The sequence below is a fragment of the Homo sapiens genome, chromosome 12, assembly GCF_000001405.40.
Source record: "Homo sapiens chromosome 12, GRCh38.p14 Primary Assembly".
Classification (NCBI taxonomy): Eukaryota; Metazoa; Chordata; class Mammalia; order Primates; family Hominidae; genus Homo; species Homo sapiens.
Window position 1 is genome coordinate 78,002,913 of NC_000012.12, and position 14,069 is coordinate 78,016,981.

Genomic DNA, 14,069 nt, shown 5'->3' on the forward strand with positions numbered 1-14,069 from the left:
TATGCATACATGCACAAATATTGAGGTGTCCACAAAGTATATATGCCTGTACATAAATTACATACTGGCTGGTGAGTGAATGTAAGCTTCTCTAAATTGTACAACTCTCCACAGAGTGGCACTCTAATATTGCAAAGGTACAATATAAGCATGTGCAGAATGAACAGCTCTTCTAGGATCCCTATAAAACTCCACCCCATGTTTCTTTTGAGTCACTATAAAATTGATGACTGAGGCAATACACGAGCAATTATTTATGCAAAGCAGTGTGAGGAGGTGCATGAGGATCCACTTAATACCAAGACATATTTAGATTTGACTGCCACTTTTCTTCAACTTAATTTTTTTAAAGCATTTGGTATGTTGTTGTGGAATTAAAGTCCTAATTATTTATCAAAATAAGTGGCATAGCCACATTGTTTAATCATTTTCCTCTTTCCACCACGATCTGTGATGCTTAAAGTATCCTATATTCAGCAGGGACCATCTATATCAATGAGCACAATGCCTGCCATGCAGGAAATACTTCAGAAATGAATGGTGCTTTTGTCATCATTTTTGTTGTCACTTATTATATTTCAGAGTTGGAACCTAGTTTACTTTTGTCAAAGCAACGCACTATTCAGTGAGGAAAAAGAGATAAGCGATTAAGAATCATCTCTATGTCCTTTCTCAGACTGATACCACTCTTGGTAACATGGTGCTAACTCTACAGCTAACTGAGGTTCCAGAGAGAAATGTCCCACTATAAACTTTCCATATGCCTGTTGTGACTGCCACATTTACATCCATGTATTAATTTTAGAACTTGGTTGGCATTGTTCCCAAGTCATCAATATTGTTTATTTACAAGATGAGATAACTAGACATTAGTTCTGTGAATTTAGATGTTTTGCAAGTGTGAACGAATATCTATTCTCACATCAACTCAGAGGAACAGGTGCAAGTAAGATGCTAAAGAAGAAGGTATATAATACCTGAATAAAGTGTCTTGTGTGATGTTCTCCCCATTTATATCCTGCTCACCAAGGAAGAAGGAAAACAAGGAGTTACCCAATTAACTTGACTGTGCGATAAATGTGGCTTGCTGGAGAGCCATTTCAGCAGAATTTCTGGCATGCAGTAAACATGTGGAAAGAAGAGACAGTGAAAATCTTCCAAATGTTTGAGTCAGATAAAAATGAGTTCCAATTTAGATTTTGTTTTTTCTAAGTTTTGCCATATGTATGATTGAAAACAAATTATCTTTCTAAGTTTTCATTTTCTCATTTTTAACAAGAGAGATCATAAGCATATTGTAGATTATTATGGGTTTAAATGAGATACCATGTATGAAGTACTTATTATGTACTTGGAATAAAGTAAGCAGTAGATGAATAATATTATTTGGTTATGGTGGAGTTGGCAATGGTGAGTGTAGGTGAGGTATAAGAAGAGGAAGCAGAAGACAGGGAGTGGAAGCAAATTGCTATTTGGGGACCATAGACAAGAGGTAAGGCTGTAAGCAGAGATAGCCCATAAAAATGCAAGATACAAATCCATTTTTGGAATGCCTTTAAATATGTGCATTAGAAATCTGTTATTTTCCCCATGCTGAGATTCATTCATAGTCAGAAGTTGAGTAATCAACATTCAGAAATATGTCATTGAGACCAGGCTACTTATTCCTGAATATATAAATGGCAACGATTATAATTTGTGACTACATTCATTCTGTAGAAACTACAGGTGCTGCCATTTCAGCTGCTGTTGTGCAATCTTTACTGTGAGGAGTCCAGAGAGACTCTTATTATTCCAGTGCCTTCCTGATGCACAACAACCTATGATTTGCCCTCTTAATGAAATCTGAAGCATCTCATTGCCTCTGTATAGGGACAGGCTGTGGACAGATTTAGAGCGGAGCTTCAGGAAGTATCTTATATGTGTGTACTCGCCTGAGAATGATGTTACAGCTGCTGTTATGACTATTACTGTGGGTTGGATGTGGATGTCATAATTCAGAGTCCCTCTTGTTTCAGTTTTGGGTGCAGTGATGTTGAAATTCCTCTTCTGTACTTGAACTTCTATAGCAGTCTTCTAGCTAATGTCTTCAACTTGTTTCTCTTTTCTAAGGAAAGAGCACCTTCTCTTATGTCCCTTGTTCATCAGCCAGTTAAAAAAGCATCCTGACTGGTTCTTTTCTACCCTCTCCGATCAACCCCACCGAAGCTCCCAGGCACACTCTTACTTCTTAACCTAGTTGTAGATGCACAGAAGATACATAACAAGTATGTGGACAAAGAGATGAGAAAAAATGACATTAGGGGAACCTGAAGAGTTTATTTTGGTTTTAGAGATTATTTGAAGCAAACTGCTAAACATCCAGGTGAACTCAGAGCTAGCCAAGGTTCTGAAAGTTCAGTAAAAAATGTTAATATTGCATAGCTATGAAACATTTAATGAATTTAGCAATTTGGGGGACTGTGTTAAGAAACAGCCCTTTAAAACTGAAAAGGCCAACAGTTTTCAGAATTTGTGAGTCTACTCAACCCTTGCTACTCAAAGTATGACTTGTGTGTGAGCAGCAACGGCATCATTCAGAAGATTGTTGGCAATGCAGAACCTCAGGGCCCACTGCAGACCTGCTGTATCACATGTGCATTTAACAGGATCCCCAAGTATCATGTGTGCACATTAAAGTTTTGAGAATGACTGTGGTAAACACTTAGAATGTTTGACATTCCAAGAAAATTATAGAGCTTGGGCTGTAGAGTGACAAGATGTGGGGTCAAAGCCTAGCTCCACCATACACTCCTCATTAGATACCTAAATCATTGAATGAAGCTTACTAAGCTCTGGTTTCTACAAATGGGAATTAGGAATATGAGCCCTTCCCACTTCAATGGGCTGTTGTGAAATAATGCAGTTAGAGAACCTTCAATAAAATGTCAGTTAGCATAATTATATTTGTAATAATTATTCATATTATATTCATTATAGAATAAAGCGAAATATCATAAATAACTTTTTTTTTTGAGAGAGAGTCTTGCTCTGTCATCCAGGCTGGAGGGCAGCAGTGAGATCTCAGCTCACTGCAACCTCTGCTTCCCGAGTTCAAGCATTATACAACATATTTTTATAGGGCAAGGTGGAATATCCATTTACTAGCATGGGCTACAGTGGTGGTTGGAAAATAACAAAGAGAATTGCTTAGAGGAGGGATAGTGTTTTGTTCATCTTTGGATATCTGTGACTAGCAAATTTATTTGGGTAAGAGTAATTTCAGAGGGGAAAATAAACACGTCCCCCCACAGCCCCCACCCCAGAATCAATGCCTCTCAAACACTCTGCATTTTTGAAATATGGTAAAAAAAAATCACATCAGAGAAGTGATTGATGCTGCAGTCTCTTTTCAGTTCAGAGGAGAGAGACTTCTATCCATCAATAGTTTGGAAGTTCTCAATTATGTAATATAAATGATCAAGATTAATCGCCTTTTCTTTATTTTTCTTCTAAACAATGTCCAGATTCCTCCAAAGGACCTCAATCGTCTTCAGGTGTAAATGGTAACGTGCAGCCTCCCAGTACTGCTGGGCAGCCTCCTGCCTCTGCCATCCCTTCTCCAAGTGCCAGCAAGCCCTGGCGCAGCAAGTCCATGAATGTCAAACACAGTGCCACCTCCACCATGTTGACTGTAAAGCAGTCAAGTACAGCCACCTCCCCCACACCATCTTCAGACAGACTGAAGCCACCTGTCTCAGAAGGGGTCAAAACTGCTCCCTCAGGACAGAAATCCATGCTTGAGAAATTCAAGCTAGTCAATGCCCGGACTGCTTTACGCCCCCCGCAGCCTCCCAGTTCAGGACCTAGTGATGGTGGGAAGGATGATGATGCCTTTTCTGAATCTGGTGAAATGGAAGGTTTTAACAGTGGTCTGAATAGTGGTGGCTCAACAAATAGCAGTCCCAAAGTGTCACCTAAGTTGGCCCCTCCAAAAGCTGGAAGCAAAAATCTCAGCAATAAAAAGTCTTTGCTACAGCCAAAGGAAAAAGAAGAAAAGAACAGGGACAAAAATAAAGTTTGCACTGAAAAACCAGTCAAAGAAGAGAAGGATCAGGTGACAGAGATGGCTCCAAAAAAGACCTCCAAAATTGCAAGCTTGATCCCTAAGGGCAGCAAGACAACAGCAGCTAAGAAGGAAAGCTTAATTCCGTCTTCCAGTGGTATTCCAAAACCAGGCTCTAAAGTTCCAACAGTAAAGCAAACCATTTCACCTGGCAGCACAGCAAGCAAAGAGTCTGAGAAATTCAGGACTACCAAGGGGAGCCCTTCCCAGTCCTTATCTAAGCCTATAACCATGGAGAAAGCAAGTGCTTCTAGTTGTCCTGCCCCTTTGGAAGGAAGGGAAGCTGGCCAAGCTTCTCCTTCTGGTTCCTGTACCATGACAGTGGCACAAAGCAGTGGGCAGAGCACAGGAAATGGTGCTGTCCAACTCCCTCAACAGCAGCAACATAGCCACCCGAATACCGCGACAGTGGCACCATTCATTTACAGGTAAGGTGGCCTCTGTTTATCCACAGTTGTAAATATATTTACAGGCCTACATACTCAGAGTGTAATAGGGAAGGCTGATAAAGTGGTGCTTTATGTCGTCATTTTGGAGTAAAGTTTCATGCTAAAGATAGAGGCCTAGAATTCAGTGCGGAATCTTAGTCTGGAAAAAGACTTCCAGTAGGATCTAGTTTTATTCCCTCTCTCATTCCCTGTCAGCAATTGAGACCTTCAAAAATTGAATTACTTGTTATCAAAAGCCAGCTAGAAACCAGATGCCACAACTTTCTCTTGTGTTTATTCATATTATTGCTACTACTATACTGCTTCTATTACTAGCGGCAGACTTTTAAAATAATTCTCACTTTTACATCGTTTACGGTTATTTTTGTTGTCATCTTTGGGAGAAAGTATACCATAATGGTTAAAGAGGCAGCCTCTGAAATGATAAAGTTGCGGATTTCATTCCTAGTTCTGCCACTTTTCAGCTATAAGACATTGGGAAAGTTACTTAACATTCTTTAGTCTCATTTTCTTCAGCTGTCAAATAGGAACCATGCACTACTTTGTAGAGTTGAGACTATTAACAGAGGTCATGCATATAACATGTTTACTGTATATCCTGATGTGTTGCAAATGTTCTTCAAATGTTATTTATAAGATATTACTTTCTCAGTGTAAATTTTATATTAATTTCCCACAGCAAGGCATAGGTTTCTAGGTAAAAGGGGTTACATATATAATTTGTATTACTTATTTGGGTTGTATTACTGATTTGTTTTTTTTTTACCTTTTATTTATTTATTGTTTATTTTACTTTGCATTCTTATTTTGTAGGCATTGAAATACACAATATAAAATTTTTAAATGCATTATTATGCATTTTAAAATATGCATCCTACCATCCAAATGGTAAAGACAACACTTTGCTTGTTGTTCTGTGATTTGTTTTAATCGATTAGAGATATGTCAGTAACTGCTGTGTCCCCAGTTTATTCACTGCTTGGTTGGTAAGGAGATGGCCTGGGGAGCAATAATGTCTGCTTTGTCCCTCTTTCGGGCAGGTTGGCAATTTAACTACAGAAAGAAAATTTTATGAATAGGAAGCAGGACCCACTATAATTAAGAAAGGGTCAAAACTATATAGTTTAAAATTTTATTAAATTTTTTGAATGTAAAAGTTTTTAAAATAAAGCAGTTTATACTGATTTATTTTTTTGCTCAATGAGGAATGTAAGTGCTTTTTTTCTGAGGTTTTTTATACACTCAGCAAAACAAAATTATTATAATTATTACATTTAAGCTCTTGGGACATTACAATTGAATGTTGCTATTCTGACTTCAATAGTACTAACTCATTTAAAATACTTGTATTTGGATCAGATGGGAGTCTGCAGCTCCTTCTGACTCCAGGGTCCCTGTTTGACAAAGCAGAATTTAAGATGTCAAAATCATGATCCACATTTCAAAAACGTGAGAAAAAAAATCATGAAGTTTTAAATATGTCATACTCAGCACACTTTTGGATTACAAATATATTCTGTAAAAACATCAATCCTTTCAAAAAATCACAAGTGAATTTCATAGGAAAGTGTAAATCTAGAACTGCTAATTTAGTAGGCTTCTTTCTATAAGTAGCAACAAGCTTTTAAAAAAATTGTTTGCAATAAAATATCCAGTGGAAACAAATTTAGTGGTTTCCATTTGAAAATGTAACTTTTAAATATCAAAAACAGGAAGCAGCACAGCAGCACAGCTTAGAAGTTACAGTGTGGATCCGCTGTGTGAACCTGATGAGTTCTTTGAGAAACTCTTTGAGTTTCTGTTTGACCTCTTTAACAACAAGACTATAAAAGTGAGGCAGTGTAGCCAAGTAGCTAAGAAAAGAGGCATTAGAGAGGCTGAAGCAGGAGGAGAATCGCTTGAACCCAGGAGGTGGCAGAGGTTGCAGTGAGCTGAGATCGTGCATTTGCACTGCAGCCTGGGTAACAAGAGGGAAACTCAAAAAAAAAAAAAAAAAAAAAAAAAAGAGAAAAAAAGGGCGATAGAATATGTCTTACTCTACCATTGTTCAGAAACAGCATCTTGTGGTGGTGGTTGCCTAGGTGGGAATCTCAATGCCACCACTGATCAGTTGTGTTACTTTGGGTCATATATGTAAAGATTCTGACCCACAATTTCCTAATCTGTGAAATAGGTATGATAATTGTAGAAGCTACCTCATTAGCCTATTTTGAAGATTGAGTTGATATTTATCTGTAGAACAGTATCTGCCACATAGTAAACAGCCTTCCCTAAACTTCACTTTCTAATCCTATAAAGTATGATTGATAAAGGATGCCTACCTCGATTGATTGTATGAAAGATTAAAGAAAATAATCCCATGTAAAATTTTTAGCACACAGCCAGATTTTGAGCAAATTACATGAATATCAGTAATTATTTTTATTATTATCAACAATATAAGATAGCTAAAAATAAATGAAACTATGGTTGGCATGGTGGCTCATGCCTGTAATCCCAGCATTTTGGGAGGCCAAGGTGGGAGGATGACTTGAGGCCAGGACTTTGAGACCAGCCTGTACACCAGAGCAAGACCCTGTTTCTACAATAAATAAATAAATTAAAACTGTCTCATAAAATTTCACATTGAAGTCTATATATAAAGTAATATTCATTCAAAGTTTTTAAATCAATGCAGAACAATTTTACAAATAATATGTAAATCCTCAAAAGGCAGAGTGGTTAATATTCATTCTTTTCAGCTTTCAGTAAAAGCTTGTTTATAGAGTCATGACATTTGGATTATGTAACCTTTTATGTTCTTTCTGACTTTCACTGTTCTATCCCCATGTAAGAATCCCTCCTATAAAATCCCTGACAATTATTTTTGGAGTTGCTAATCATTTGATGAGATAAGACTAATAATTTACTTTTTGATGTTGGTATTATCATTTGTTGAGTGCTTACTTAGTGAAAATCTTTGTGTCACAAAATATATGTGAATTTTCTCATTTAAACTTCATCATGAACTCATGAGAAAAAATGTCATCCCCCATTTTCCAGAAATGAAGAAGCAGAGATATTAAGTCAGAATAGTAATAATCTCTTCAGATCATAAAGCTAGTAGAAATTTGCTTTGCTTATCAGTTCTATCTATGTGACAGAAATAAGAGGTATTGTTACTGAGAAAATTCTGGTTAGGAAAATGCCAATAGTACACTTGCAAAATTCTCAATCAGAACTCATTTATAATTGAAAATGGTAATTGCTGTTAATTAGTATAAATTATATAAATGTATACAGATACATATATATATGATATGTAAATATAATTAAATAACTTTTATATAATGGGAAGATTGATGGCTGATGGTGACTTTTTTTCTCAATTCTAGGTCAGTACTTATTCCTTCTGAGACTTCAATAAATGCTTCATAGTACTCTTTGTCACACACTGGGTGTTCAGAGTTCTATAAATATAATGTGGATTCTGGAAGTTAATAGATTTCCTATTAGCCTAACTTCCTATCTAATATAAATTATTCTGTACATAGTTTCAGTAATTCAATTATCTCTACAGAGTGATAAAGTAGTTTCAAATTTGCTGTTATTCTTATTCATTTATCAAATAGATATAACTAAGACAAAATGTCAAGAATTAAAGAAAATATTTTATTTTGGTTTAAGAAGTTCCTGATAACTAGAGCTACCTGAAATTGGAATAGGCTGCTTTTTATAGTGTTAAGATGGCCATCTGAAGTATTTAAAAAGTGGCAAAGTGACCAGTTATTACAGTTTAAGCAAAGGGAAATTGCTGCATACTTTTTCATTTATGTACTCATCCCTCATTCTACAAATACTGTGTAACAGAAGATACAAAGATTTTTTAAAAAAATCTCTGCCTTCTGGGAGCTCAGTCTACTAAGGGTAGTAAGAACAATATCATCAAAAATATTAAACCATTACTGTTATGGAAGTGTATGCAACATACACAATTAATGTAGAAAAAAAGAGGGTTTTTTACAAATCTGGCAAAATGGAGTAAACTAATGCATCACCAAGAAGTTAAGATAAGGGTAAGGCATAAAAGATGAGTTACAGTTTGTCACAAGGAGGTAAGAATGTTGTGCTATCATCCGAATTTGATATTCTACAATTTTATAATCCAGGCATGATGGGAAAAATAATAGGTAAATTGTGAGCTGCTATGCAAATACTAGTAACTGGAACTGCTATAGACACTAATGGTTAGGATTTGTAATTATATGAATGAGAGACTATATTAGTCAGTTTTCACACTGCTATAAAGAAATTCCTGAGACTGGATAATTTATAAAGAAAAGAGGTTTAATTGGCTCACAGTTTTGCATGGCTGGGGAGGCCTCAGGAAACTAACAATTAAGGTGGAAGACGAAGAGGAAGCAAGGCACGTCTTACATGGCAGCAGGTGAGAAAGAGAGGACATGGGAAACTGCCATACACTTTTAAAGCATCAGATCTCATGAGAACTCACTCACTATCAGGAGAACAGCATGGGGGAAACTGCTCCCTTGGTCCCATCACTTCCCACCAGGTCCCTCCCTCTACACATGGGGATTACAATTCAGATCACAATTTGAGATGAGATTTGTGTAGGGACACAGAGCCAAACCATATAAGATACTAAAGAAGAAAAGAAATGGAAATAATTTAGATTTTGTTTTTCTCTTTCAATGACCCCTTCTCCATACATCAAATTTTCAGCTAGTCTTCCTAACCCTTCTTCTGAAACATACCCTCAATCAGACTTTCTTTCCATTTCCAGCCCTTGTCTCCTAGTCCAAGCCACAACACCACCAATTCTCATCTAGTTTCCAATGAGTCTCCCAGCTTCCACTCTGGGCTCTTTGCAGTAACATCCTTCACACAGATGGCATTTTGACCTTCTAAAAGCGTAAATCATATATCTTATTCTAATTAATGAAGCCATCTATTAGGTTTCCATTACATTAAAAAAATAAAACTCAAACATTGCACCATGACCCTCCAGGTTCTAAGTAATCTAATACCCTGTTCACAATTGATCCCCACAGCCACATGCAGTCCCACCTTCCCCCAGCACGTTGTATCTCAGCCTTCATCCTCCTTCTCAACAAACCAACCTATATTGCTTTAGAACATATCTTTGGCATATATGTTCATTTATGACTGTAACAACTGTCTTCTAGATCACTGCAGGCCTGTCTTGTTATTAGAGCTCTGCTAATCTCCAGCCATCTCCAACCACCTACTCCAGGGGAATATATATTATGCGCCTTCTCAGAATTCTATTTAATCATCCTCTTGTATTTTCTTTACACAGTTTATTACTATCTGTTCTTTTCTTGTTTACTTATTAACTAGTGTGATTTCAGCCACCTCCTAATGTAATGTAAGTTCATTGAAATTAAGAGTCTTGTCTTTCTCATTTAGTAGCATAATTGCCCAGTACAGAGGCCACCTACAGTAGATACCAAATAAAAATTGTTGAATGAAACACTATCATCCTGTGTTAGAATCACTTGCTATAGAAGAATTTTCAAACCTGCCAAAAATGTACACTGGAACAAAAAAAAATTCTGAAGTCTCTCACTTCCTATAAATGGGAGGGTTTAACTGAAATACAAAGAGCTTTAAAATATTTAAAGAATTAAACCATACCTTCTCTTCAGCACATTCATTCACTTATTTTTTATCTTCTTTCAACAACTACCTACTAAATATCTCTTATGCATGAGACATCAAGAATTGAGTGAAAAAATCATACGTCCTATGTCGTTTTCTTTTCATCATCCACAATGTGGTAGACAAGGGGCAAGCTCAAAGAGAACAACAAAATGCAGCTGGAAGTGTAAAGCTCCCCAGGAGTGAAATAGATTTGTTATACTGAGGCTTCAAAAAAGTGAAAAGTTACTTTTAGCTATTGGAATCAGGGAAAGTGGCACTTGAACTGAGTCCAGAAAGATAAGTAGGATTTGGTAATGCAGAGATGAGGGGGACAGGGAGGGAAACATAAGGCTGAAGGAACCACATAAACAAAGTCAATAAAAGATACGTAGGCTGGTCGGCAAGTAGGTCAGTTTCTCTTGAACATTGAAGATTGATTGGAGCCTGGTTGTAGTAGAAATTCTTGAATGTCAGAAACTTGGACTTTATGTATGTATATGTGTGTGTGCATACATGTGTTCATGCATGCACATGAGCATGTGTGTGGAAAGCATGATCAGAAAAGTTATTCTTTCTTCAGTATGTAAAATGGATTGTTTGTGGGAGAGGTCAGAGTAGGATGAACCAGGTTAAATGTATAGATGAAGGAGCAATTTACTGAATTTCTTAGGTTTGTTAAATCTCGAAGGAGGTTCCAGTTATTGGAAGAAAAGAGAAAGGAGAACCACATAGTTTTTTCATTCTGTTTTTTTAAAACTCCTTTTTTTATTGTTCCTCTTCTTTCTTGGTGTCCATCCTGAGCTATATAATTTGAACCTGTTTTTCCTGCCTGGAGTTCAAATATTGTTACCTTACATCCTTCAGACTTTCAAAAAATACCTCCCTTTTTCCCATATGTCATTTTTCTTCCATTGCTTTTGTGTTAATTACATCACAACTATATTCTACATGCTTTCAAGGACATGTGAAATAAAATAATATAATAATTGGTTAATTACAGAGAAAAGGGAGACCTGTGTGTTTTCCCTAAACCTGTCTCTTTAGAAGCCTCCAACAAAGTTTTGAAATAATGCTTACCCAGAGTTATGCTGTTTTGAAGTCTACATTCTTTCTTTTCTGACCATTTGTAGTAAATACCAAGGAAACAATGCATTGGACATAAAGCAAACATGAAGAGGCAAAGAGAGCAGAATCAGGGTTTTGAGCAGTTCTCAAAAAAGAAAAATACCTAACCCTTAGATAAGGCAAGGCACTATTCATAAGGAGAAAAGTATCATGCTTCTTAAGCCCATTAATTAAATATAAGCAGAGACCCTCTATTAACACTTGACTTGTAAAATTAGGTCAAGAAAATCTGAATTTAGAGTTTTTCCTTCTTTTGATATAATATGCTGTACTTTATACAACCACACCATGGATTCTCAGAAGAGATTTTTATTATAAAATATTTCTGTGGGACTATAGATTTGCCTAGGATGTGACAGGGAAATTGACATTTTAATATGCTATTTTCCAAAAGGTGGAGAATGCAAAACATTAGTTTTGAAAATGCTTACTCACAAGGTTTTAAGTTTGGCTTATTTGTCGAGCTAGTATAATGAAGAGGAGGAGGAACTGTGAGTTTACAAAGATTGAAATGTGAAGCCTTTAACCATCATTCAGGTAATGCTTTTGTAAGCCCTGAAGCTACTTCTACATAATATACCACAGTAATGGTTTTATGTGAACTGGGCATAATTGACTATCAGTAAAAACTAAAGCTTATTGAATGCTTGGCTTGCAAGCTCGTCTTTTGCTAGGTTTGATATGTATCTGCACATCAGGTAGTGATTTGCATTTCCTCGCACAGCGGTATTTTTAGGATGGAATATGAACACACTGCTAGAAGAGGCACTTTTGTGTAGAATACTACCACGAGTCGGCATTTTCCCAGCAGAGCCAGCAGAGAGGTTCACAAACTACCTTTTCTGTGCTTGATTACGAGGTTCATGGCAAGATTGCCTAACCAAACCATTGTTATTTCTTCTCTTCATATTTTATGTTATGTTTTTGGAAACCATTTTAATCTTACAGAAAATTTGCAAGAATTGTGCAAATGACTCTCATGTACACTTCTCCCAGAGCACTCAGAGAACTTATTCATATTTCACCAAGTTTCACCAAAGATGGTCACTTTTAGTAATTCAGGATAAATATTGCACCTAGTAGCTGTCACATCTTCTGAATATCCCTCAATCTGGAACAACTGTTTAGCCTTTCCCTGACTTTCATGATATTGATATATTGATGGCTAGGCATTTTACATAATGTTTCTAATTTGGGTTTGTCATATAGTTCCTCATTATTAGATACATATTAAATGTATTTTTTTTGTCAGGAATGTCATCGAAATGATACTGTGTTTTTCCTGTTGCATTTCATTGGGTGTTTCATGATATGAATATCAATATCTTCCATTTTGGTTGTGTTGAATTTGATTGCCTGATTAAGATAATATCTGCCACAATTTTATATTCTAAGTGAATTTGTCTCCAGTTGTATGTAATAGGTATTTTTGTGGGAAGATATTTTGAGACTGTGTGTAAAAACGCAATTTTGTATCTACTTTGACCCACAAGTTTTAGCATCCGTTGAGCTTTGTTGCCTGAATTAATAATGTGCAAAAAATGTCAATAATTAATGACAACTGGTTTTCTAATTCCATCCTGTCTTCTGCATTTTCTCTCTGGCATTCTACTTTAAGAAAGAGATGTATTTTCTCCCCATGATCTTTCTATCTATTTAAATTGTATGGACAAATAGATTTCTACTGTATTTGTTATAATTCATTACTATCACAACTTACTTTGATGCTTAATTTTCCAAGATTTGGCCACTGGGAGCCCCTTCAAACTGGCTGTGTCTCCTTTCCAACTGCCCTATCACTCTTTGAGAATTTTCTTTCTTTATGGCTCAAGGTGTTCTAGGCTCATCTTGCACATTCCCTAACTTGGCTTTAGATCCTATTCTTTTCTTTAAGGAACTTGTATGTCTTTTTGTATAGGGTGATTTTAGAAACCAAGATCTCATTGCTCCTAGGTTTTCTTGGTGGACAAAACCAAGAAATTTATGTATGCATACACACACATACATACATACACATACATTGAAGCATTATTTATTTTGATATTATATATATGCCTTATTATAATTCAATGTGATTATTCACATATACATACATTCATAATACCTCCAATTCCAACTCAACACCACAGTTTATTTTTCTTTCCATACTTGTGCCTCTTTTTGTCAACCATGAGAAACTTGGCTCTCATTATTCTCAATATGTTTTCTTATTTACTCAACTCCCCTGAATCGAGTAAATCTTCCATCCACACTAGACTTCTGTTCAACCCAACAGTTTCCTGGCCTTGGCCCTGTCTGTCACCTGTCTGCCTTTCCAGAATGAAGAAAATAGGAAAGCAAGCACATTAGTGGTTTTTGAAAGATATGTGCTTTTCTTTCCTTTTTGTTGGGGTTATAAACAGGAATTACAATACCATTAGTTAATGTTTCTGACTCAAATCAGTTCTACTTGTGTCTACATTTGTGACCATATCTATATCAAGATGGATCCACAGGGGGAAATATTTCTTGAATACAAATCAGTATGCAAACATTCATGTTTATGACATTAAAGATTAGAGGTTTGATAGTGTCTAGGATTTATTACTGAGTTCCTTTTAATGATCAGTACATAAAGAATAACATTTAGGTTAGACCAGTGGAAGTGTCACATTTAACGACCGAGTGACTGAGCTGTCTGTTAGCTAAGGGAACCTCAAATGCAGTAAAATACTTAGTTCAGAGGC

The 14,069-nt window shown here is 36.2% G+C and overlaps 1 protein-coding gene across 27 annotated transcripts in view; it reads left to right on the forward strand.

Annotated features, from left to right (window-relative positions):
- Positions 1-14,069, forward strand: part of NAV3 (neuron navigator 3) — a 641,149-nt gene that overhangs the window by 431,051 nt on the left and 196,029 nt on the right. For all 27 annotated transcript variants that reach the window (XM_017020166.3, XM_047429817.1, XM_047429823.1 and 24 more), the window contains one exon: positions 3,507-4,533. In XM_017020166.3, the coding sequence (XP_016875655.1) occupies positions 3,507-4,533 (1,027 nt within the window). The remainder of the gene's footprint in view (positions 1-3,506; positions 4,534-14,069) is intronic.